General features: G+C 42.9%; 1 protein-coding gene across 6 annotated transcripts in view, besides 1 other annotated feature; it reads left to right on the top strand.

Annotated features, from left to right (window-relative positions):
• The window catches only part of SHLD1 (shieldin complex subunit 1), a 114,203-nt gene that overhangs the window by 36,783 nt on the left and 51,007 nt on the right, over nt 1-26,413 (top strand). The window contains exon 3 of one of the 6 annotated variants that reach the window (NM_001303478.2): nt 1,668-1,737. The exons of the other annotated variants lie outside the window; for them this stretch is intronic. Coding sequence (NP_001290407.1) covers nt 1,668-1,737 — 70 coding nt within the window. The remainder of the gene's footprint in view (nt 1-1,667; nt 1,738-26,413) is intronic. 6 annotated transcript variants of the gene reach the window in all.
• Nucleotides 11,148-11,347: an enhancer, noted in NCBI's record as "active region_17530". NCBI's record gives its function as "activates an Ori minimal core promoter by ATAC-STARR-seq in GM12878 lymphoblastoid cells {active_cell/tissue: GM12878}" and the evidence as "EXISTENCE:reporter gene assay evidence [ECO:0000049][PMID:35858748]".

Raw genomic sequence — 26,413 nt, forward strand, 5'->3', positions numbered from 1 at the left:
ATATGAAGGTCTTATTTCTACAACAAAGTCCATAGTTTATTGAACCTAAGCATAAAAATGGACAATTTCCCCTGTATCTTTGGGTTTGCATTCTGAAGGCTTCAGTGCATACACATTAAATAAATTTGTATGCCTTTCTCCCATCAATCAATCTGCCTCATGTCAGTGATTTTCAACAAACCTCCAGGGGGCCAAGGGCCTTGGTCCCCACAAAGGCATTGCCTTCTCAGTTAAATTTCTCACACCAGGTAGGATCCAACTTCTTATGTGAAAACCCAGGGAAGAAAACAAGTCAGGAATTTTAACTCCCTTTGCTGGAATCAATGAAGCCCTTGATCACTTTTTCTACCCAGAAGAAATTTTCTCATCTGGTGCCAGAACTCTTCTTATTCTTGGCTCTTTGCCCTTGAAGTTGCTGTTTGTCTGCTGAGTGGCTGCCCTTGGCCAACCTTTTAGCTCCCTGGAGTTTTTGATAGTTGGCTTTTGGTAACATGCTTGAAGTTACAAAAACCCAGCTTATTAGAACATAACTTTTAAGGATAAAGGCTTTTATGTTAATTCCTGGGTCCCCCATGTTTGACTGACCAGGTTCATGTTTTGCCCACTGCCTGGCCTAATCACACAATGCCTGCAGCTTCTGCCTGCTACGCCTAGACCCTGGTGTGAGTAGGGAATAAGGGTCAGTCAGTTCCTGGCACATGGTAGGTGCTCAGTAAAGGCTGGTGAATGAATAAATGAAAAACACATATAAGTGAAACTTGATAAGGTTTAAAAATGGAGATCAAGTATTTATCACGGTGCCCTGCTCATCCATTTGTAAAATTATCATAAAATTTAAAGCTCTGTGTGATCTGTGTAGGATAATATAACATTTCTAAGTTAAAAGCATATATTATTACATAAGCCCTGCAGATTTGTTTAACTCTTGACTAGAAAGTCAACTAGTCTCTCTCAAAAGCCCCTGGCTTTTTTTCCTTGAAAAGAAAACAAGTAGAGAAATGAACAGCTGTAAGGAGATATAGTGCTACTGAGAATAGAATGTTATTCCTACATTTCCCCATCATGAAGAAAGCATGTTCCTAGTGGAGTTGTTTCTTTTTTAGCAAATATTTCTGTAATAACCATGTATGCAATTATGGCTTTAAGGATACCCCTAAATTGCTTTCAAAGCTATTTTCTTAAGAAAACTGTATTCCATATTTTAAGTATGTGAGGTTTTTTTCCTTCTTAAAAATAATACAATTGAGGGGCAAATTTAAATAAATTGTAAAAAACAAAAAAACAGAGGTGTACCCCCATTTCTTCCTAGTATATTCAGTAGTTGTTGTTTTGTCCAGAATTTTCTTTTACAAATTGGAAAATATTAGGGATTGTAAAATGCAGTATAAATAAGATGAGGAAGTGACCCTCAGACTAACACCATTTTAGAAGTTGAGTTTGAGGAAAAATGGTTAAAATAATATTGCATGTTTTCAGCCAATAATACCCAGAGAGCTGCTGCTCTGAGCCTAGGCCTGGAGGTGGTGCCTGGCGAGTTCTTGCTATCAGACAGTGTTTGAGTCTACTGCCCTCTGGTGGCTACTTGTTACACTTTCCTGAGCCTTACTGAGAAAAAGAATTTAAACGTACCAGATGTGTGTTAAACCTTTCTCATTTGTTCTTTGCAGAGTTCTGTGCCTACTCGAGGTAGAATTAAAAGTTCTCAGAGATTATTTTACTCAACTGAAATCCAAGGAGGTAATTTCTCTTAAGGTCACCACTGTTAGTTATATTCACTGCACATGAATTATATAATTTGAAATCTTTTTTCATTTATCCAGCTGGGTTGATTTCAGGCTAGAATACACACATGAATAGTGATGTCTAATTTTTTTTGCTGGGCTCAGTGGCTCATGCCTGTAATCCCAGCACTTTGGGAGGCTGAGGCAGGTGGATCACTTGAGATCAGGAGATCGAGACCAGATTGGCCACCATGGTAAAAACCCTGTCTCTACTAAAAATACAAAAAATTATCTGGGCATAGTGGCACGCACCTGTAATCCCAGCTACTTGGGAGGCTGAGGCATGAGATTCACTTGAACCCAGAAGGTTGCAGTGAGCTGAGATCGAGCCACTGCACTCCAGCCTGGGAGACAGAGAGAGTGAGACTGTCTCAAAAACAAAAAAACAAAAAAGAAGAAAAGAAAAAGTGATGTCTGATTTTTCTTTATACGTTTGCCAATAAAAGTTGTGCTTTTTTTTTTTTTTTTGGCAAAGATAAGACCAAAGGATTTAAATTTTACTTTTTTGATGAAATTATAGTACCATTAAAGGGTAATTGGCCAGGTGCAGTGGCTCACACCTGTAATCCCAACACTTTGGGAGGCCAAGGTGGGCAGATCACCTAAGGTCAAGAGTTTGAGACCAGCCTGGCCAACATGGTGAAACCCTGTCTCTACTAAAGATACAAAAATTAGCTGGGCGTGGTGGTGGGCACCTGTAATCCCAGCTACTAGGGAGGCTGAGGCAGGAGAATCACTTGAACCCAGGAGGCAGAGGTTGCAGTGAGCTGAGATTGTGCCATTGCACTCCAGCCTGGGTGACAAGAGCAAAACTTGATCTAAAAAAAAAAAAAAAAAAGTAATCACAAAATTGAGAAAAAAAAAACTTTTGGAACTTGTAATCTAATAAGATGGCATGAAACTATTTCTCCTTGTTCTTCCCTGCTAAGCAACTATGAACCCTGGAAATGCAAGAGGCAACCAAAGGAGAACTTGGAGATTTAGTAAGAAGGTGAATTAGTTTGGGGCCCCAGGACTGGAGGAACAATATGGTGTCCGAGTGTCTTCTGTCCTCCTACCCAACTGAAGAAGGTGACCCAGACCCAGTGCATCCTAACCTGCAACCTAGCAACAAGAAGGTGGCCCGGGACCTTCTCCCCAGGACTGACAGATTATCTATCCAACATGACCAGGAAAGCCCAGCCCCCGGGAAGGGGAGATTAATAGGAGGCCACTAAGTAGCCAGAGGAAGTGCTCACCTTCAGAGGGCCTGGGACTTCCTTCCCCTGCTGAGTGAGAGCTCTGTGGCAAGCATGCACATGTGGGAGGATTCTGCCAGTTCAACAAATGATCTGGCCTGGGAAGCCTCTTTGTTCCCCTGGGCCAGAGCCTCCCTCCCCTGCCTACATTCACTGGGGAGCTGGGGGGCACTGGCAGAGGGGATCCCACTACCTCAGACAGCCCAACCCAGGGACCTTCTTCCTCCCAGGGAGCCTGAAACTTCCTTCCTCCCCTAGAGATTCCCATACTCTGAGCATGAGGCCTGGGAAAACATCTTCCATTCCTTCAGGCAGCACTAGCAGGAGCCTGTGGAAACTCAGCAGTTCCAGATAAACCAAACAGATCAAAAACAGCAAAAGCACTGAAAATTAAACTTTCATTGAAACCACAATCACAAAAGTAGGCCAGGACCTGCATGCTAACATAAAGGATTTCTTTTTTTTTTTTTTTTTTTGAGTTGGAGTCTCACTGTTTCACCGAGGCTGGAGTGCAATGGTGCGATCTCGGCTCACTGCAAACTCCGCCCCCTGGGTTCAAGCTATTCTCCCGCCTCAGCCTCCTGAGAAGCTGGGATTACAGGCACCTGCCTCCATGCCCGGCTATTTTTTTGTATTTTTAGTAGAGACGGGGTTTCACCGTGTTGGCCAGGCTGGTCTTGAACTCCTGACCTCAGGTGATCCACCCACCTTGGCCTCCCAAAGTGCTGGGATTACAGGTGTGAGCCACCACGCCTGGCCAAAATAAAAGATTTCAGTAGGACCAAAATTCTCTAAATGTAATAGACAAAATGTTTAGATACAACTAAAGATCACTTGTCATACCAAGAACCAAAAAATTACGACTTGAATGAAAAAAGACAGTCATGGCTGAGCGCGGTGGCTCACGCCTGTACTCCCAGCACTTTGGGAGGCTGAGGCAGGTGGATCACTTGAGGCCAGGAGTTTGAGACCACGTTGGATGATATAGTAAGACCCTGTCTCTACAAAAAATAAAAAAATTTGCCAGGCAGGGTGGCACGCACTTTTAGTCCTAGCTACTTGGGAGGCTGAGGCAAGAGGATCGCCTGATCCCAGGAGTTCAAAGCTGCAGTGGGCTGTGATTGTGCCACTATATGCCATCTTGAGCAACAGAGAAATACCTTATTTGACAAGGATTTTAAAGCAGCCATTATAAAAATGCCTGAACAATCAATTATAAGTTCTCTTGAAATAATGAAAAAACAGAAAATCTTAGCAAATAAATAAAAGTTATAAAAAGAAGCAAGTCAGTTGGGCACAGTGGCTTCCACCTGTAATCCTAGCACTCTGGGAGGCTGAGGCAGTAGATGGCTTGAGCCCAGGAGTTCAAGACCAGTCTGGGTAACATGGCGAAACCTCGTCTCTACAAAAAATACAAAAATTAGCTGGGTGTGATGGGGCACTCATGTAGTCCCAGCTACTTCGGGAACTGAGCTGGGAGGATCGCTATTGTCCTGGAGGTCGAGGCTGCAGTGAGCCATAATTGCACCACTGCACTCCAGCGTGGACCACAAAGCAAGACCCTGTCTCAAAAAAAAAAAAAAAAAAAAAAGGAAATGATATAAATGATAGAACTGAAAAATATAGCCAAACATTGATAAATTGGACCTCATAAAAATTAAAAACCTTTGCTTTGTGAAAGCCCATGTGAAGAGAATGAAAAGACAGGCCACAGACTGGGAGAAAATATTTGCAAATCCCATACCTGACAAAGAACTAGTTTCTACAATATGTAAAGAACTCTCAAAACTCGACTCTCAAAAAAAAATGCAGTTCACTTTTACAGGTCAATACACAATTCAGTTTCTCCACATCCTTGCCAACAACACTTGTTATTTTCTGCTTTTTTGATAGTGACCATCCTAATGGGTGTGAGGTGATATCTCACTCTGGTTTTGACTTGCACTTTTCTGATGATTGGTAACGTTGAACATATTTTCCACATGTTTATTGGCCATTTGCATACCATCTTTGAAGAAACATCTATTGAAATCCTTTGCCTATTTTTAAAATTGGGTTGATTTTTTTTGTTATTGAGTTGTAGGAGTTCTTTATGTATTCTAGATACTAACTTCTTATCAGATATGTGATTTGCAAATATTTTCTTCCTTTTTATAGATGGCCTTTTCACTCTGTTGATTATGTCCTTTGATGTGCAAAAGTTTTTGAGTTTGTCCATTTTTGCTTTTGTTTCCTGTACTTTCGGTGTCATGTCTAAGAAATCATTGCCAAGTCTAATGTCATGAAGCTTTTCCTCTGTGCTTTCTTCTAGGAGTTTTATAGTTTTAGGGCTTATGTTTAGGTCTTTAATCCATTTTTGAATTAATTTTTGTATATTGTGTAAGATAAGGTTTTGAGTTTGTTCTTTTTATCTTTTTGTTTGTTTGTTTGTTTTTGTTTTTTTGAGACAGAGTCTCACTGTATCCCTCAGGCTGAAGTACAGTGGCATGATCTCGGCTTACTGCAACCTCTGCTTCCTGGGTTCAAGCGATTCTCATGCCTCAGTCCCCCAAATAGCTGGGATTACACGTGTGTGCCACCACGCCTGGCTAATTTTTGAATTTTTAGTAGAGACAGAGTTTCACCATGTTGGCCAGGCTGGTCTCGAACTCCTGACCTCAGGTGATCTGCCGTTTTCTTTTTTTTAAAAAAAAAAAAGAAAAAGAGTCTTGGTCTGTTGCCCAGGCTGGAGTCCAGTGGCATGATCCCGGCTCACTGTAGCCTCTGGCTCCTGGGTTCAAGAGATTCATGTGCCTCAGCCTCCCGAGTAGCTGGGATTACAGGCGTGCGCCAATATGCCTGGCTGATTTTTTGTATTTTTAGTAGAGACGGGGTTTCATCATGTTGGCCAGGCTGGTCTCGAACTCCCGATGTCAAGTGATCTGCCCACCTCGGCCTCCCAAACTGCTGAGATCACAGGCATGAGCCACCACGCCTGGCCTCGACTTTGTTCTTTTGCATGTGGATATGCTGTTTTCCCCTCACCATTTGTTGGAGAGACCTTCTTTTCCCTATTGAGTAGTCTTGGCACCCTTGTCAAAGATCATTTGAGCATATACGTAAGGGTTTATTTCTGGGTCTTTGTCCTGTTCCATTGGTCCGTATGTCTGTCTTTATGACAGTGCCACACTGTTTTGATTACTGTAGCTATGTTTTGAATCAGGAAGTGTGGGTCCTCCAACTTTTTTTTTCCTCGGAATTGTTTTTGCTATTTGGAGGTCTGTATGTATTCTTTTTTGATGTACCTATAAATATATTTTAGTGTGGATAAATATGTGCATGTAAATTTATGTATTTTAGTGCATTTGTTTATGTAGAGATTTTAACAACAAAAAACCTGTAACAAAAACATGCTGTTCTGCAACTTGCCTTTTAAAATTCCACATTAGGCCAGGCACAGTGGCTCACGTTGTGGGTTTTTTTTGATGTATAGAGATTTTAGATTCCTATATAGTCAAGCTTATCAATCAATGCTTCTGCTTTAGCATAAAATTAGGAAAACCATTCTTGCTTTCCAAGATTATATAAATAGGCACCTCCATTTCTTAGTATTTTTAAAAGTTTAATTTTCAACTTTGAAGTCTTTATTTTAGGGTAAAGTATGAAACAAGATGATAGCTCTATTGTTTTCCAAATGGAAGCCAGTTGTCTCAATGTTATTTATTTAATCATTGTATTCCTTTCTCTCTGGTATTTTTTTTCTTTCACTTTTGTTGCCCAGGCTGGAGTGCAGTGACACGATCTCGGCTCACTTCAACCTTCGTCCCTGGTTCAAGTGATTCTCCTGCCTCATCCTCCTGAGTAGATGGGATTATAAGCACATGCCACCGTGCCTGGCTAATTTTTTTGTATTTTCAGTAGAGACAGGGTTTCACCATGTTGGCCAGGCTGGTCTTGAACTCCTGACTTCAGGTGATCTGCCCACATCAGCCTCCCAAAGTGCTGGGATTACAGGCCTGAGCCACCACGCCAGGCCCCTTTCTCTCTGGTTTTAGATGTTCCCCTCACTTAAAAAAAAAAATCACGTTCTACATTTTCTGATTGTTTGTTTGTTTTGGAGCCTGACTGGTCTGAGTTTTCACCTTGATTCTATAGCTAGCTAAACATGCTAGCTTTCTGACCTTGAGCAAGTGACTGCACTTCACTCTTTCTTAGTTTCCTCATCTATAAGATGAGGACAATAACACTATCTGCTTCATAGGTTGTCATGAGGATTGAGTGAGACACCTGGAGCTGAGTAGACTTAGCAAAGGCTAGCTGTCATTACCACCACTGCTGTTACAACTAGTGCTGCTACTGGGGTTGGTTTCTGGATTCACTTCTTTCTTGAGTTCCTTTCAGGAGTCTAAGACTTCCACTTCTTTATGTTGCTCAGTACGAGGCAAAAAAGTGACTTTTCCTGGGACAGGCCCCTTACAGAGAAGTTATTCGGATTAACACTGACCAAAAGTATCTATAGAATTACTTCTTAGCATTTGCTATGAAAATATATATTTTCTGCTAACTTTGGATATAATTTTAGGCAAATTATTGCATCCTGTTCTTATATAATCTCTTCATTGTGAGTGTCATGTATATTTGTCAACAGATGCCTTCTTATTTGCAAAGTGCTTTGATTTGTATTTGAAAGGTGTTCCTATGTTGTATTCTACAAATAGTCTTATGGTGAAGGATCCCTGTTAATCTGGGGTGTCTTTAAGCAAAGCCATGTTTGTGAGACTGTATTAGATACTATGTTTATTAGACGTCTAATCAGTGAAATGAATGAGACCATTTTTAAAATTGTTTTCTCTGTACCGTGCTACAGATTGAGGGTGATATAAATCAGTGAGAACACAGGATTCCTGTGCTCATGGAGTTGATCGTCTAGTTGGGAAAATAAGATATGTAAACTTATTTGTTTACATATGTAAACAAAGTGATGGCCGAGCTTGGTGGCTCACACCTGTAATCCCAGCACTTTGGGAGACCAAGGTGGGCAGATCATCTGAGGTCAGGAGTTCGGGACCAGCCTGGCCAACATGGTGAAACTCTGTCTCTACTAAAAATTCAAAAATTAGCCAGGCGTGGTGGCACACACCTGTAATCCCAGCTACTCGGGGGGCTGAGGCACAAGAATCACTTGAACCCAGGAAGCAGAGGTTGCAGTAAGCCGAGATCACACCACTGTACTTCAGCCTGAGGGATAGAGTGAGACTCTGTCTCAAAAAAAACAAAAACAAAACAAAACAAAAAACACACACACACACGCAAAACCAAAGTGATAAAATCAGGCTGTATAGGCTGGGCATGGTGGCTAATCCCTGTAATCCCAGCATTTTGGGAAGCCAAGGTGGGCAGATCACTTGAAGTCAGGAGTTCAAGACTAGCCTGGCCAATATGGCAAAACCCCCCTCTGTACTAAAAATACAAAAAATTAGCTGGATGTGGTGGCACGTGCCTGTAATCCCAGCTACTTGGGAGGCTGAGGCAGGAGAATTGCTTGAACCCGGGAGGCAGAGGTTGCAGTGAGCTGAGATCATGCCACTGCACTCCAGCCTGGGTGACAGAGCAAGACTCTGGTCTCGCAAAAAAAAAAAAAAAAAAAAAAATCAGGCTGTGTAAGTTTCATAACTACACAGAACAAATAGAAATGAACAAACTCATTACAAAAAATATCATCTATTGGCCGGGTGTGGTGGCTCATGCCTGTAATCCCAGCACTTTGGGAGGCCGAGGCAGGTGGATCACGAGGTCAGGAGATCGAGACCATCCTGGCTAACACGGTGAAACCCCGTCTCTACTAAAAATACAAAAAAAAAATTAGCCGGGTTTGGTGGCGGGCACCTGTAGTCCCAGCTACTCGGGAGGCTGAGGCAGGAGAATGGCATGAACCCAGAACCCGGGAGGCAGAGCTTGCAGTGAGCCGAGATCGCACCACTGCACTCCAGCCTGGGCAACAGAGCGAGACTCTGTCTCAAAAAAAAAAAAGAAAGAAAGAAAATATCATCTATTCCGGAACAGTAGATATCTACTTATTTCTCCACATCAGAATTCTCTATGTAAAGATTAGCTGTTGAAGCTATTACATTCTGGGTGGTGCTAGAAATCATTACTTAAGGAATAGAAATTAGAATGTTGTTATACATTTACCAAAGCAAAAGAGCAATAATCCAAATTTTAATCAGATCTTAGAGGAAACATTTTTATAGCTGTTTATTACAAGACCTCAGAGTTTTCTTACTGTGAGCACTCTCAAAATTATCTAAAGTATTTTTTTAATTGAACTATTGGTCATAGTTATTAATGTTATTAATATATTACTATAAAAAGGCATAGAAAAATCATAATAAGAAACAGATAATTGCTAAACTATGATTTGAGTTGCCCCTCTAGAGTTTTTTCTTTTGTGGTCTATGTGAAAGGCACCCTATGGTTTTCCATTGCTTTATCTCTTTTTTAAAACCCATAGCGAATTCCCTAAATTTGAATTTGAAACATTTTCAGCGTGAGTTAGAAAGGGGGGAGATGAGGCCGGGCGCAGTGGCTCATGCCTGTAATTCCAGCTCTTTGGGAGGCTAAGGCGGGTGGATCACTTGAGTCTAGGAGTTTGAGACCAGCCTGGGCAACATGGAGAAACCCCATCTCTACAAAAAAATACAAAAAATTAGCCAGGCAGAGTGGCATGCGCATATAGTGCCAGCTACTCTAGAGGCTGAGGTGGAAGGATTGCTTGAGCCCAAGAGGCGGAGGTTGCAGTGAGCCATAATTGCACCACTGCACTCCAGCCTGGACAACAGGACAAGACCCTGTCTCAGAAAAAAAAAAAAAAAAAGGTGGAGAGGTGAGTTAAAGGATAATTGGCTGCAGTTTTACAGTCTACAGTTTTAGACTGTAAATCGGCATATCACTTTTCAAATATTAACTCAACCTTCAACAGGCATGAGAAGCTGAAGTTGTTTCTAACTAGCCAGGAAAATGAGAAGTATTATTGCATATCTCTCAGCATATTAGGAAGAATTGGAAGAAAAACAGACCCAGAGCTCTGGATTCTATCTTTTGCTCCAAAGTAATGATAGGAAGCTTTATTCATCTAACAATGGATGCTGTGATTTTAAAAATTTAAAACTACTCTTCTTGATGAAATAAGGAAAAACAAAAGGGGGAAGGAAAGGAATTAGGAAAGGAAAGAGGGAGAGGGGAGCAAGGGAGTGATTAGTATGCTTACATTTTATACTCTTGTGAGGATTAAGAATAATGTGTGTGGGCTGGGCACAGTGGCTCATGCCTGTAATCCCAACACTTTGGGAGCCTGAGTTAGGAGGATGGCTTGAGCTCTGGAGTTCAAGATCAGCCTGGGCAACATAGTGAGACCCCATCTCTACAAAATATAAACAAAATAAGCTGGGCATGGTGACGAGTGCCTGTAGTCCCAGCTACTCAAGAGGCAGAGGTGGGAGGATTGCTTGAGTCCTGGAGGTCAAGGCTGCAAGTGAGCTATGAACATACCACTGCACTCCAGTCTGAGTGACAGAGCTAGACTCCATCTCAAAAAAGAAGAAGAAGAATATGTGTGAAGTCCCATATAGTCCCAGTCCCAGCACACTGTCCCTACTTACTTACTAGACACAGTATTATAGTATCTGTGACAGTGATGGGCATGTAAAATTGTATGTTTAGTCAAATCATATTTGACTGGAGACATGTCTAACTTGTTTAATAAGTCACATTTATAATGCCTTTGCTACTCATGAACATCCAGTCACTTGATTTCACTGATACCTGCAGTCCTAGGCTTGCCAGTGTCCCAGGCCTCTTTGTTCACTATTTCCTGGGCTACTGCTTAGGCTCTATGCCTATTATACATGTAGATATGACCCTCTGTTCTCTGTCATCAACAGCAGTTGAATCAGAGGCCTTGTTTTGGTTATCTCTTGCTGCCTAACTACCCCAAAATTTAGTGGTGTGGAACAACAACCATTATGTTCTCTCTCACAATTTTGTGGGTTGATGTGCTTCAGCTGAGTGGTTCTTATGGTCCATGTGATATTGGCTGGGGCTGCAGTCACTTGGGGGCTTGAATGGTCTGGAATGTTCAAGGCTGCTCATTCACATGGCTGATAGTTGATGCTAGTCATCAGCTGGGAGCCCAGCTGGGCTGTCAGCTGAAGTGGCCACCTGTGGTCTCTCCATGCCCATGTGGCTCAGGCTTCTGACAACATGGTGGCTGAGTTCTGAGAGGGGAAATCGCAAGAGTGAGCCTTCCAAGAGAAGAAAAGTAGAAACTCTCAGTTCTCTTTTTTTTTTTTTGAGACGAAGTCTTTCTGTCACCCAGGCTAGAGTGCAGTGGCGTGATCTCGGCTCACTGCCAGCTCCGCCTCCCGGGTTCACACCATTGTCCTGCCTCAGCCTCCTGAGTAGATGGGACTACAGGCGCCTGCCACCATGTCTGGCTAATTTTTTGTATTTTTAGTAGAGACAGGGTTTCACCGTGTTAGCCAGGATGGTCTCAATCTCCTGACCTTGTGATCCGCCCGCCTCGGCCTCCCAAAGTGCTGGGATTACAGGCGTAAGCCACTGCGCCTGGCCTAACATTTTAGTTTTCTTTTTTTTTTTTTTTTTTGAGACGGAGTCTTACTCTGTCGCCCAGGCTGGAGTGCAGTGGCGAGAGCTCGGCTCACTGCAAGCTCCGCCTCCCAGGTTCACGCCATTCTCCTGGCTCAACCTCCAGAGTAGCTGGGACTACAGGCACCCACCACCGTGCCCGGCTAATTTTTTTGTATTTTTAATAGAGATGGGGTTTCACCGGGTTAGCCAGGATGGTCTCGATCTCCTGACCTCGTGATCCGCCCACCTCAGCCTCCCTCAGTTCTCTTAAAAACTAGCCTCAGCCAGTTGTGGGGGCTCATGCCTGTAATCCCCATACTTTGGAAGGCCAAGGTGGGTGGATCACTTGAGCCCAGGAGTTTGAGACCATTTGTGAGTCTCTACATGGCAACATGGCAAAACCCCGTCTCTACAAAAAAATACAAATACAAAAATTAGCCAGGCATGGTGGCGTTCACTTGTAGTCCTAGCTACTCAGGAGGCTGAGGTGGGAGGATCACCTGAGCCTGGGAGGCGGAGGTTGCAGTGAGTCGTGATTGCACCACTGCACTCTAGCCTGGATGACTGAGCGAGACTCTGTCTCAGAAAAAAAAAAAAATTAAAGGCTAGCCTCACTTCTGTTGCATTCCCTCCCCTCCCCTCCCCTATTCTCTCTCTCTCGCTCTCTCTCTTTCTTGCTTTCTTTCTCTCTTTCTTTTTGAGCCAGGGTCTCACTTTGTCCCTGAGGCTGTAGTGCATTGGCACCATCTTGGCTCACTGCGGCCTCAACTTCCCGGGTTCAAACAATCCTCCTATCTTGGCCCCCCAAGTAGCTGAGACTACAGACATGCACCACCATGCCTGGCTAATTTTTTTTTTTTTTTTTTTTTTTTTTGGAGAGACAGGGTTTTGCCATGTTGCCCAGGCTGGTCTCAAAACTCCTGAGCTCAAGCAATTTGCTCACCTTGGCCTCCCAAAGTGCTGGGATTACAGGTGTGAGCCACCGCGCCCAGCCTTCTGTTATCACAGGCCAGCTCAAATTCAAAGAGTGAAGGAATTGACTCAGCTCTTGATGAGAGATTGGCATGTGCATATAGGGAATGGCCTTCTTACTATAGGGTCAGTACCATATTCCTTTCAAATTGCCTTCATGAAGTGTAAGTCTTTTTAAAAGGATACTTACAAACTCAAGATTCATACCCTAGAAGTAATTCTGGAAAAGGTGGTAAGATATCATTGACCTAAACATGAGAACCTGGAATGATTTGTCTTGGACCCAGTTGTATGGCATTGGAACCATACTTGTGTCAGTACATAAACATGAAAGAGCTAATCTCTTTTGAATGGAAAATGTGGCCCAATTCTGTAAGAAAGGGTTTAAGGCCATACGTGATTATTGCTAGAGCAGTGGTTCTCAAAGTGATTTTGTCCTTCAGGGGGTATTTGGCAATGTCTGGAGACATTTTTGGTTGTTGCAACTGGGTAGGGGGCAGTGCTACTGGCATGTAGTGCATAAAGGCCAGAGATGAAGCTAAGCATGATACAATGCACAGTGCAGCCCTCTCCCACAACAAAGAATTGCAGCCCAAACATGTCAATAGTTTCAAGGCTGCCTGAGCTACAGCAAAGATTCTTCCCACACTGTCTTGGAAGTTCATACAAAGTACATTGCTTTTTATACTCCAAGACATCATTTGTGCCTTTTTTCCTATAAAAAACTTTTCTATCTGTATATTTCCAAATTCAAATTGTGAGATTTCTTTAAAGGCTCTTTACAACTTCTATTTATTTTTTGTATTTAAATAATTTATAGGGCCGGGCGTGGTGGCTCACGCCTGTACTCCCAGCACTTTGGGAGGCCAAGGTGGGTGGATCACTTGAGGTAAGGAGGTCGAGACCAGCCTGGCCAACATGATGAAACCCTCTACTAGAAATACAAAAATTAGCTGGGCACGGTGGCAGACACCTGTAATCCCAACTATTCAGGAGGCTGAGAAAGGAGAATTGCTTGAACCTGGGGCGGAGGTTGCAGTGAGCCAAGATTGTGCCACTGCACCCCAGCCTGGGCAACAGACCGAGACTGTCTCAAAAAAAAAAAAAAAAAGAATTTATGTACAGAGGTTGGATCAAGGTGACTTGTAGGGCACACCAGTTCCATCCCTTTTCTTCTACCTCAAACTCTAAGAGATGACAAGAAAAAAATTACATCTATGTATAAATCCATCTTTATCTGTATCTATACCTGTGTGTGTGTGTGTGCGTATGTCTATATCTCCTGAAAAGGAAGAAGAGGTGATGACTATGGATCAGAAATTTTGAGCATCATTGAAAGGCTGTGCATCAGGAAAGGCTAAATTATGCTGTGGTAACAACTCCCAAATTGAAGTTGTTTAAAAAACTATAGACTATTTCTCATTCATGCTCATTTGGACTGTCAGAGGGCTAGTTGTTTAGGGACCTAACAGCCACCATCTTTTTTTTTTTTTTTTTCTTTTTGAGACAGAGTTTCTCTCTTATCACCCAGGCTGGAGTGCAGTGGTGCGATCTTGGCTCACTGCAACCTCCATCTCCCAGGTTCAAGCCATTCTCCTGCCTCAGCCTCCCAAGTAGCTGGGATTACAGGCGTGTGCCACCAGGCCAGCTAATTTTGTATTTTTAGTAGAGACGGGGTTTCACCATGTTGGTCAGACTAGTCTCAAACTCCTTACCTCAAGCGATCCACCCACTTCCGCCTCCCAAAGTGCTGCGATTATAGGCATGAGCCACCATGCCTGGCCCAGCCACCATCTTGAATGTTGCTATTGCCTTACAGAGGCAAAAAGAGAACTCCGAAGGGCTTCTCATTGGCAGTTGAATGCTCTGCCCTGGAAGTGAACGAGAATCAAGTATCCTACTCACAGTTCATTGCTCAGGACTACTTACGTGGCCCCAGGACGTGCAGTCCTGTCAGTGGCCTGGAGAGGGGAGAATGGAAAATGTTTGACATATGGCTTGATTAACTCCTTCAAAGGCCAGGACAGATGGGCTCTACTGGAAGGAAGAAGCCACAGCTCAAGTGTGCACAGGGCAGGGCTCCTCTGGAAGATGGGAGTGGCTCCTGAAGATATAGCAGGGAGGAGAGGACCCTGTACAAAAGACAGAGTAATTTATTAGAGTACTCTCACAGGAATAACCTGGGAGATTGATTCCCCCGCCCCCCGTATCCCATAGATGGGAAAATTAGGAGGAGTGCTCTATTTTAACATTTGGAAATGTCTTAACATTTGATCTTTAATGTGCTATGGAAGTTACATAAGTCTCCACTATAAAGTTCCGTGTTCAAAAGCATTGTGCCTAGTACTGTGTGTGCTACATTGGATGTTCTCAGTGGGTACTCATTGAATTGAATGATGGTTCTAAACTTACCACAGGAAAAATGCATACACTGTTTTTAAAAATTATCATTGTTATTATTATACCATTATTCTATCTTACAGAGAAGTTTGGATTTGGAAACAAGTTAGAGTCCTGTGAGGGCCTTTTAAGGAATTTCTCCTGCCCAGGAAGCTGCCAGGATCCAAAGAAAAAGCATGTCCAGATCCCAACTTCCCTTGTATTGCTGCTTATTTTTCCTTGCAATTTCCCTGACCCAGCCACCATGCTTGCTCTTTGCACCTTCTCAGCTTTGTGAAAGGATGTCCTTGGTCCTCCAGGCCCTGCTTTCCTGTTGGTGGCCTCTATCTGGATTGGGTCTCTTGAGACACTGTTAGGGGTCAGACTTCCTGGGGCCAGATCTGCTACCCACTAGCTCTGTGACTTTGGGCAAGCTTCTTAATCCTTCTGGGCCACACTTTCCTCATTTGGAAACTTTGAATAATACTAGTACGTACATCATAAGGTACTAGGGTTAGTATGAGATGCAGTGATACTTACAAAGTGGTTAGAGCAGTACCTGGTGCTTTGTAAGTGTCTGATCCATGTTAGCCATCGATGTCATCACCACCTCTCCTCCAAGCTATATCCATGTCTTTTCTTTTCTTCTTTCCTTCCTTTCTTCCTTTCTATTTTTCTTTTTCTTTTCATTTTTTTGACAGGGTCTCACTCTGTTGCTCAGGCTGGAGTGCAGTGGCGTGATCATGGCTCACTGCAGCCTAGACCTCCTGGGCTCAGGTGATCTTCCCACCTCAGCCTCCTGGGTAGCTGGGACTACACATGTGCGCCACGTTGCCCAGTGTCTCAAGCAATTCATCCACCTTGGTCTCCTAAAGTGCTGAGATTACTGGCGTGAGCCACTGTGCCCGGCCTCTTGAGCTTTCTTTTAATGATTATACCAAGAATTCTTCATCACTCACTGCAGGGCCAGGACCAAGACAAAGTGTTAAATGGGTTCCATTTTGCTCTGGCTTCCATCTGGCTTGATTACCAGTCCCGGCCTTCCCTTCTCGCTGTTCTGGGCTTATTCTTGCCTTTAATATACAGTCAATAAGCAACTCAAGAGGGGCCGTATTTCAATCCAGCATTCCTGAAGACCAGGGGGCCTTGTGAACACATTTGTTCTTCACCTTATTTGATTGCAGATCTTTTTTTTTTCTTTTTCATTTTCTTTGAGACAAAGTTTTGCTCTGTTACCCAGGTTAGAGTATAGTGGCGTGATCATAACTCACTGCAGCTTTGAACTCCTGGGCTCTAGCAGACCTACCTCAGCCTCCCAGGTAGCTGGGACTTGAGATGAGTACCACCATGCCTGGCTAATTTTTTAAAAAAATTCTTTTGTAGAGACAAGGTCTCACTATGTTGCCCAGGCTGGTCTTGAACTCCTGGCCTCAAGTGATCCTTCCGTCTCAGCCTCCCAAAGCATTGGGATTATAGGCATGAGCCACCAAGCCCAGTCTGTAGATCCTTTTGAAAATCTGATAGAAAGAATGAAAGCTCTCCCAAATGTGGGAGCCTGTGGCTTCAGGGGAGTCTCCAGAATTCTAGGCATTAGATTTAACATTTAAAAAAAAACAAGGGCCAGTCGCGGTGGCTCACACCTGTAATCCCAGCACTTCGGGAGGCCGAAGCAGGCAGATCACAAGGTCAAGAGATCGAGACCATCCTGGTCAACATGGTGAAAGCCCATCTCTACTAAAAATAAAAAAAAAATTAGCTGGGCGTGGTGGCACACACCTGTAGTCCCAGCTACTCAGAAGGCTAAGGCAGGAGAATCGCTTGAAGCTGGGAGGTGGAGGTTGCAGTGAACCGAGATCGCGCCACTGCACTCCAGCCTGATGACAGAGTGAGACTCTGTCTCAAAAAAATAAAAAAGATTAAAAAAAAAAAACAAAACAAGAATGACGAAAGAGCAGGTGGTGTGGACTTGCTATTTGGAGGTTGAGGGCCTGTCTTCTGCCCCTTCGATCATTAAGGAAGTTATCCAGTCTTATGGCGAGATCAATATCATTACTGTATGGCCGGGCGCAGTGGCTCACACCTGTAATGTTAGCACTTTGAGATGCCGAGGCGGGCAGATCACTTGAGGCCAGGAGTTTGAGACCAGCCTGGCCAACATAACAAAACCTCATCTCTACTAAAAATACAAAAAAAATTAGCTGGGCGTGGTGGCACATGCCTGTAATCCTAGCTACTTAGGAGGCTGAGGTATGAGAATCATTTGAACCCAGGAGGCAGAGGTTGCAATGAGCCGTACTTACTATATATATATAGTAACTTACTATAGGTCTTTGTATATATATATAGTTACTGTAAGACATTTGTATATCGCAAAAAAAAACTATATATATATATACAGTTACTGTAAGACATTAGTATAGTGTAAAAAAAAACTAGAAAAAAAAACCAAAAAACAAACAAGAAAATCTAGCTCCTGTGTGTTTTTTACATGACCTTGTGGCACCTGCAGGCTAATTTTGTTTGTTCAGGTTTTGCCACATCCTGTGATCGTTCATTATCTTTGACTTGATATGTGACCGTACAAGAACATTTCAGTTATGGCCTAACATAATATGTGCTCTAAAAATTCCATTGCAGAAATCATACTTGATGAAGGTGGCCGTCATTCATTTTTGTCACCTAATCATGAATGCCAGTGCCACTTTCCATTTCAGGACTGGCATGGAAAGTTATGCCTGTGCATCAAACAAAAGTTTGCATGAAGAAGGAGCCTCTTGTTCAATTTTGCATGAGATGTTTCCTATTGACTTTGAAAACTTGAAGTGTTTGAAGGCAAGGGGGAAAGCAAATCAACCCAAGAGATTCCACATATTCAAAGACTCCAGCACTTTGTTTACCTAACACAGAACTGTGTGCTGGTGGCGAAATAAAGCCTTTGCCCTGAACAGGAAATCTTGGTGGAGTCCAGGCAGCAGGAGGCCTGGCAGCATTCCACAGTGATCAGCTGAAGGAAAAACAAGAGTTTACAATACTAACCCCAAATGCCCTTTTTGTCTCCCAGGAGAATAATACTATCTTGGCCTAGGAGGGTTGTGCCTTCATGCTCAACTCTTGGTCTAACAGTCATGAAGCTGCAGTAACATTCTGTTTTCCCCTCCTTAATCTTCTTTATCAAAGTCTTAATCCTTTGCTGCTGTTGTTTTTGAGATGGAGTTTCGCTCTTGTTGCCCAGGCTGGAGTGCAGTGGCGCGATCTCGGCTTGCCACGAACTCTGCCCTCTGGGTTCAAGTGATTCTCCTGCCTCAGCCTCCCAAGTAGCTGGGATTACAGGCATGTGCCACCATGCCTGGCTAATTTTGTATTTTTAGTAGAGACAGAGTTTCTCCGTGTTGGTCAGGCTGGTCTTGAACTCCAGACCTCAGGTGATCCGCCCACCTCAGCCTCCCGAAGTGCTGAGATTACAGGCGTGAGACCCCTAATCCTTTTTGTTTGTTTATATTATGAAATTAGGCCATTCTATAAGTGGTACACTTTTCAATTTCTTAAAAAAGGGAAAGGTAAATTATTTGGGGCAGACAACAAAATAGGAATGTAAATGCTTGAACTGTTGATTAAATTTGTGTGTTGTGTTGTTTTGTTTTGCTTTTTGAGCCAGAGTTTTGCTGTGTTTCCCAGGCTGGAGTGCAGTGGCGCAATCTCGGCTCACTGCAACCTCTGCCTCCTGGGTTCAAATGATTCTCATGCCTCAGTCTCCCGAGTAGCTGTGATTACAGGTGTGCACCACCACATCCAGCTAATTTTTGTATTTTTGGTAGAGACAGGGTTTCACCATTTTGGCCAGGCTGGTCTCAAACTCCCAACCTCAGGTGATCCGCCCTCCTTGGCCTCCCAAAGTGCTGGGATCATAGACATGAGCCACTGCGCCTGGCCTAAATTTGTGTTTAATATGGCAGGAGTGACGGCTGGGTCTGGTGACCTCCATTTCTCTATTGAATGGGGAGAAAGCACAGCCTTTGGGGTTTGAAGGGCATTATCGCTTTAAACATGTTTTTTGATTTAAATTTTTAAATATTTTTTAGAGATGCGGCCTTGCTCTGTTGCCCAGGCTAGTTTAGAACTCCTGGGTTCAAGTGATTCTCCTGCGTCAGCCTCCCAAAATGTTGGGATAATAGGTGTGAGCTACCACATCTGGCTGCTTTATAATTTTTTACTTGGCGTTTCTTTATCTGTTTTATGGGGACAATAATATCTACCTGATGGGTGGACACATAGTAGCTGACATAAGTGAGAATCTCCACCCACAAACTTTAAAACTGTTGCTTACGCATCATGCTATTGGTCCACAGTATATGGATTTGTGGATCGTGTCTTCTTCCTTCCATTTGAAAACTAGAACATTTGCTTATCTCCCGTCCCTCTATCACTTACCCCATCCTTTGTGATGGTTTTGAAGCACTGATCATTTTCCTGTATTACTGTGGGGAAGTGGATTATCTGCAATACATGCCTTGTGTTCATTTCCTCTCCTACCAGTCAGGCATGCAGTTTTGATAAACTACCTCCCAAGTTCTGAAGGAATTAGGCTTAACCTAAAATAAACAAAACAATAGAATTTTGATAGAAGTGGAACAGAGGCCTGCAGTGTTGTCCCAGGAGCTGTTGAGGGCAGTGGCGCCTGCTTCTGGCCATGGACAGAGAGATTCAGCATCACCATGTCATTGCAGAATGAAGGGAGAGTTGGCTTTGTTAACCACCTTGGCTGCCCGTGATGCACTGATCAGTTAAGATACCAACATTTCTTATTTACATCCTGTGTTGTTGTTTCTCCGCACCCAAGGGATGTGAACAGAGTGGTGGCAGTGATGGTTGCCAGCCCTCTGTCACCACCCTCTCCACTAGAATGCCATGTATTATGTATTTCCACTGAAGGACTTGATTTTAGCACCGAAGAGTGAGTGAGTGGTCGTGTAACCTGTACCTGCAATCTTGGCCTTGAATTCTCATTTTATTCCTCAATGCACTGGCTTAGAAATCAGCTGGCTGGTAGCTGTGAGCCAGGCCCATGCCCACTGCTTTCAGCTGGAGCCCTGCAGGGCTTTGCCCTCCTGGGTGGCCTTTGCCTGGTACGCCTCTCTTGTGCTGGGCTGAGGGCAGCTCTTGGTTATGTATGATTAGCTCAAATTGTGATTCAAAATTGGCACAATTATATCATCCTAATTAAAAAAATAAACCTGAAAATGTAGTATAAATTCCTAACTTCTGAAAATTCCTCGTAATACCCATCCCAGTTTTCAAAGCAGTTTCATAAGTTACTATTTATTTTTTCCTTCTTTTCTTTTCATTCCTTCCTTCTTCCTTCCTTCCTTTCCTTCCTTCTTTCCTTCTTTTCTTTCTCTCTCTTTCTTCCTCTTTCTCTTTTTTCCTTTTTTTTGAATTGGGGATCTTGCTCTCTTTTGATAATGCGATCATATCTCACTGCAGCCTTGAACTCCTGGGCTCAAGCCATCCTCCTGCCTCAGTCTCCTGTGTAGCTGGGACTACAGGTGTGTTCCACCATGCTTGGCTAAGTTTTTACATTTTTTTGTAGAGTTGAGGTCTCGTCATGTTGCCCAGGCTGGTTGCAAACTTCCAGGCTAAAGTGATCTCCCACCTCAGCCTCCTGAGTCACTGGGACATATTTCTGTGGAATCTCCCAGTTTGGCAAAACATTAACCCTAGAATTACTTTAACATTGTTGGAAAAGAGGTACCCCTTCGACTTCCTTTTGGAGAATATAGCCTCAGAATTTATGCTCCCTAGAAACCAGAAGTGATTTCAAGCAATGAGCTAGAAAGAGGAAATCTCTCTTCTTTTTGTAGACTTACTGCTACTAGTCTTTGGAGGAAGGTCCCCAGGTGGGTATATGTATCATTGTTGTGACACTTGTGATAAGGTTAGCCTATTTTTAATGATAAAGCACTAATCATCCTTTTCTTTTAAAAAATCGTTATAAAAATAAACAGTACAAAAGAGTATAAAATGAAATGTAAGGGCGGGCGCGGTGGCTCATGCCTGTAATCCCAGCCCTTTGGGAGGCCAGGGTGGGCAGATCGCGAGGCCAGGAGTTCGAGACCGGCTTGGCCAACATTGTGAGACCCTGTCTTTACTAAAAATATAAAAATTAGCTGGGCATGGTGGCACACACCTGTAATTCCAGCCACTCGAGAGGCTGAGGCAGGAGAATCCCTTGAACCTGGGACACAGAGGTTGCAGTGAGTCAAGATCACGCCACTGCACTCCAGCAAGACTCCATCTCAAAAAAAAAAGAAACGTAAAAGTCCTAGGTCTTCATGCTTCTCCCCAGAAGTAATTATTGTAGATAACTTTTGTGTATCCTTCCATATACACACCTACAGATCTATATACATAAATATAGATAGACATACATACATATGTACATGTGTATATTGTACACACACAAACAGCACGTATATCTTTTTTTCTAAATACCAATGGAATTTTACCAAAATATTATCTTGCATCTTGCCCTTTTTTCACTTATTGCTATAATAAGGCAGCTTGCCATGTTGGTACATGTAGCTCTCTCATATTTTTACTGTCTGCATAGTATCCCATTGTATGATTGGATCATAGTTTATTTAACGAGATGTCTATTGATGGATGTTTAGATTGACCCATGTTTTTACTCATAAACAATCTTGCAGGGAATCTCCTCTTACACAGCTTATCTAATGCATTTGGTGAATGAATATTCTCATTCATGGAGTCAAACTTGGTAACTATATTGTTGTATTTTGAATATTAGTGATTTAGTGGATTTAAGCAGAAAATATTTTAATGAAATTTAATGGCTAAGTAACAAAAGATCGCCTTTATTTGCACAAGAAACATTCTTACAGATGGTGAAAGTGTTACAGAAGCCAGTTTAGTTGGGTTAATATTATCGGTTAGGAGTTAATTCACAGTAAAGTGTTTGTTTTAGAACATCAAATTAATATGCCATGAAGGAATTTAAGGGGGTGGCATTTTTTATGAGTTGCCATAGTGGCAGATACAGAGTTGTGGCACATACCTCATGAGAATGTACTTCCAGAGGTAGAACTAAAAAAGAATAATTTCTCATAAGAGGAGGTGAGAAATGTTGGGGGTGGATTTTTCTTTCTAAAACCATGCTCATAAGTGATGAAAAGGACAGCTTTTAAAAATCACCAAAGAACTAAATGTATGACTAAATAGTGGAAAGGATCTTAACGTACATGTTTGCACAAAAATAAGAAACTCATTTTAATTCCATGAAACAAATACTAACTATGGTTTAGAGTGAATCTTGACAGCATTCATAGATATGGCTCTCCTTAAATAGACTCTTAGAATTAGATGTATTTGCTCTGAGCTCAGAGTTAAATCCTCATTTCCCCTTATGTCACACCCTACTGCCAAGTGTCTGATTAGCAGCATCCTGAAAGGAAAAGCCGGCTGCCTCCCCTGAAGTGGGTCCCCAGTTCTGTAGTCCAGCTTGCTCCAGAGGTTATTGTCACTCTGCCACCAAAAACAACCAATACAGTCAAAGCTCAGCAGCTCCAGCTCTAGCTGGATGAATTATCTTCTAACCACTCTTACCCCACATTGTACAACTGCATCCATCCTTCCTCAGTTGTACAGACAACTTAAATATTTCCTCTACACCATTGGTTCTCAACCAGTGGCCGTTGCCCCGTGCTGCCACCACCAGGGGACATTTGGTGGAGTTTGGAGACATTTTTGGTTGTTAAAGCCATAGGATGCTACTGACATATAGTCGGGAGAGGCCAGGGATGCTTCTAAATATCCTGCAATGCACAGAATAGTTCCCCCACCCAACAAAGAATTATCTAGCCCGATAGCGCTGAGGGTATGAAACCCTGCTGTACACAGTGATGTCACATACTGAGGTCTCATTGTTATTTCAGTTTTCTGGCATATCTAGTTTATCACATACTACACCTTTGTCAAAAATTGGATTGTTCGGCCAGGCGCAGTGGCTCACACCTGTAATCCCAGCACTTTGGGAGGCCGAGGCAGGCAGATCATGAAGTCAGGAGTTCTAGACCAGCCTGGCCAACATGGTGAAACCCCATCTCTACTAAAAATACAAAAATTAGCCAGGCGTGATGCTGCGCGCCTGTAATCGCAGCTACTTGGGAGGCTGAGGGAGGAGAACTGCTTGAACCCGGGTGGTGGAGGTTGCAGTGAGCCAAGATCGTGCCACTGCACTCCAGCCTGGGTGACAAAGCAAGACTCTGTCTCGGAAAAAAAAAAAAATTGTATTGTTCAATAATGGACCACCTTAGACATCGAGTAACTAAGGGGACTGATACTGTGGTAGAGTGATCTTAGCATTAGGCTAGGTGGCAATTAGGAGATAGGTGTTCTAATCTCATTATTGCCTCTAATTAGCTATGGGACCTTCCGAGCCATTTAATTATCTTTTGTGAAATGAGAGCATTTGCCTAAGTTGCCTAGAGTCTTTCTAAGTCTTAAAATATTCCATTACTCTGCCATTGCACATATATTTTTTAAGTGGGATAAGGATGAACAGTAGGTACATACAGGTGTTCCATTGATTCTTTCTATTTCCCCTACCAATAGACGTATTTCTGTAGGCCTGGCATGATGGCTCACGCCTATAATCCCAGCACCTTGGGAGGCTGAGGTAAGCAGATCACTTGAGATCAAGAGTTTTGAGACCAGACTGGCCAACGTGGTGAAACCATGTCTCCACAAAAAATACAAAGGTTAGCCAGGCATGGTGGTGCATGCCTGTAACTACATCCCAGCTACTTGGGTGGCTGAGGCAGGAGAATCGCTTGAACCCAGGAGGTGGAGGTTACAGTGAGCAGATGTCATGCCACTGCACTCCAGAGTGAGACTCTGTCTCAAAAAAAAAAAAAAAAGATAATTCTGTTATATAATCTTTTGTTAACTCTGCAGATGTCCTGGCTTTAAGATCGTCCTGTATGATCATCCAATGCTGAGAAGTGCTGATGACCTAATACTAATATATCACATAAGACACTTCATTTTCCAGCAACAGTAATATATAGCATTAGTTCATTCATACATCTACTTTTGATCAGACATTTACTGAGGGGTGATCGATGCCAAGTATTTGATCCATATAGTAATCCTGCAGCCAGGCAGGAAAAGGCTTATTCTCTCCAAATTACGTACCAGAAGCCACAGCTCAGAGAGATGTCCCAGGTCATATGACTCCATAAGTGACAGTTCCAAGACAGATGTTTCCAGGACTCCCTTAATTCTTGGAGAGAGCACCTTCCTTCTGTGATCTAGCGAAGTCATAGGACAGGAGAGCCACAGCCAGCAACTGAGAGTGGAAACTTTACTTATCAGATTAGAAAACATATGCCCCCAGAAAGGTGAAATCTCACAAAATAGACACAAACCTCAGGAGTTTTAATTAAAAAGGACAGCTTTTTAATTCCCTTCTCTTCCAGTTCTCTAAATAATGTATTTCTGACATTAAGTGTATTAGGACCAGACTGGTGTCTTCTGGCAGTAGAATGGTAGACAAAAAAAAATGTGTTTTCAAGCTGGAGACCTGAGGCTGGGCATGGTGGCTCACGCCTGTAAAACCAGTGCTTTGGGAGACCAAGGAGGGAGGATTGCTTGAGCCCAGGAGTTCAAGACCAGCCTGGGGAACATAGTGAGACTGTGTCTCTACAAAAAAATTTAAAAATTAGCCAGGTGTGGTGGTGCACACCTTTGGTCCCAACTATTTGGGAGACTGAGGTGGGAGGAGCACTTGAGCCCAGGAGGTCGAGGCTGCAGTGAGCCATGACCATGCCACTGCACTCCAGCCTGGGCAACAATGTGAAACTGTGTCTCTGAAAAAAAAAAAAATGAATTTGAACACCTGCACTAAACCCCATCTCCACCACTGCCGGCTGTATAACCCAAGGCGAGTTACTTTCTCTTAAGCCTTAATTTTCTCATCTGTAAAATGGGGATTACTAATACTTAGTTCATAGGATTGCTATGAAGGGTAAGTGGGATAATATGTATCTGTAAGTCCTAGTCTAGGAACTTCTTTTTCTTTTTCTTTTTTTTTTCTTTTTTTTTCTTTTTTTTTTTGAGGACCCGACCTTTTATTTTGCCAAGCAAAAATCTTAAAAACAACCTATACCAATATCTCCACAAATCTATTAGCATTTCATAAAAGAAAGGATATTTTAACATTCAAAATGAAAGAAGGACCTAATCCCAAAATAAAGATCAGTTTTCTGTAGTCCCTAGTGTTTTTTTCTCACGTATCCATGGACTAGTAAGGGTTTCATCATGGCCTAGCATGAGTCCATAGGCCACTGCTTGGAAAACTTCTATGTATCCAGTATACAATGCACTGATTACTGTGCTCAGTGCTTAACAGGCAACTGGAAGATGGTAAGAACTATTATTAATAACAGACACTTAGAGGTTTTGATATATGTAACTTTAGAGTCCTTCTTTCCATTTCTAAAAATTCCGACAATTTTTGAACAAGTGAACGAGTGGCCTCTTGTAAGACAACAGAGCCAGAAGTCCTCAGGAGCTCAGTACAATTGTGTCTTTGCTTTATAAAATAAATCATCATGAATGAGAAGTAGCTTTGCCATGTGTATTACTTTCACCAGGTATTATGCCTCACTAAATGCAGAGTTCTTTTCTGTTTCTCCGTATTATGTTAGATTGTTTACCTGAACCCTGATGGCTAGCTTCTTTACAGGGTTGTGAATGTTGTCCCTTCAGTCATTAGCGAAATGCTTATTGTGTATCTACTATGCTGCAGACCCTGTTCCTAGGGTCGGGGATACACAGTGAACAAAATAGACAAAGGCTCTCCCTCTCTTTAAGGGGCTTTTTATTTTTATTTTTATTTTTTTATTGAGACGGGGTCTCACTCTGTCACCCAGGCTGGAGTGCAGTGATATAATCGTGGCTTACCACAGCCTCAACCTCCCAGGCTCAGGTGACACTCCTACCTCAGCCTCCTAAGTACCTGGGACCACAGGTGTGTGCCACCATGCCTGGCTATTTTTTTCTATTTTTAGTAGAGGTGGGGTTTCACCATGTTGCCCCGGCTGCTCTAGAACTTCTGGGCTCAAGTGATCCACTCGCCTCGACCTCCCAAAGTGCTGGGATTACAGGCGTGAGTCACCATGCCTGGTCTTTAAAGGGCTTTTTAAATTCTAGTTCTTTGGCTGGGTGCTGTGGCTCACGTCTGTAATCCCAGCATTTTGGGAGGCCGAGGCAGGCGGATCACCTGAGCTAAGGAGTTCAAAACCAGCCTGACCAACGTGGTGAAACCCTGTCTCTACTAAAAATACAAAAAAAATAGCGAGGCGTGGTGGCACGTGCCTGTAGTCCCAGCTACTTGGGAGG

This window comes from Homo sapiens, chromosome 20 (assembly GCF_000001405.40).
Source record: "Homo sapiens chromosome 20, GRCh38.p14 Primary Assembly".
Taxonomy (NCBI): Eukaryota; Metazoa; Chordata; class Mammalia; order Primates; family Hominidae; genus Homo; species Homo sapiens.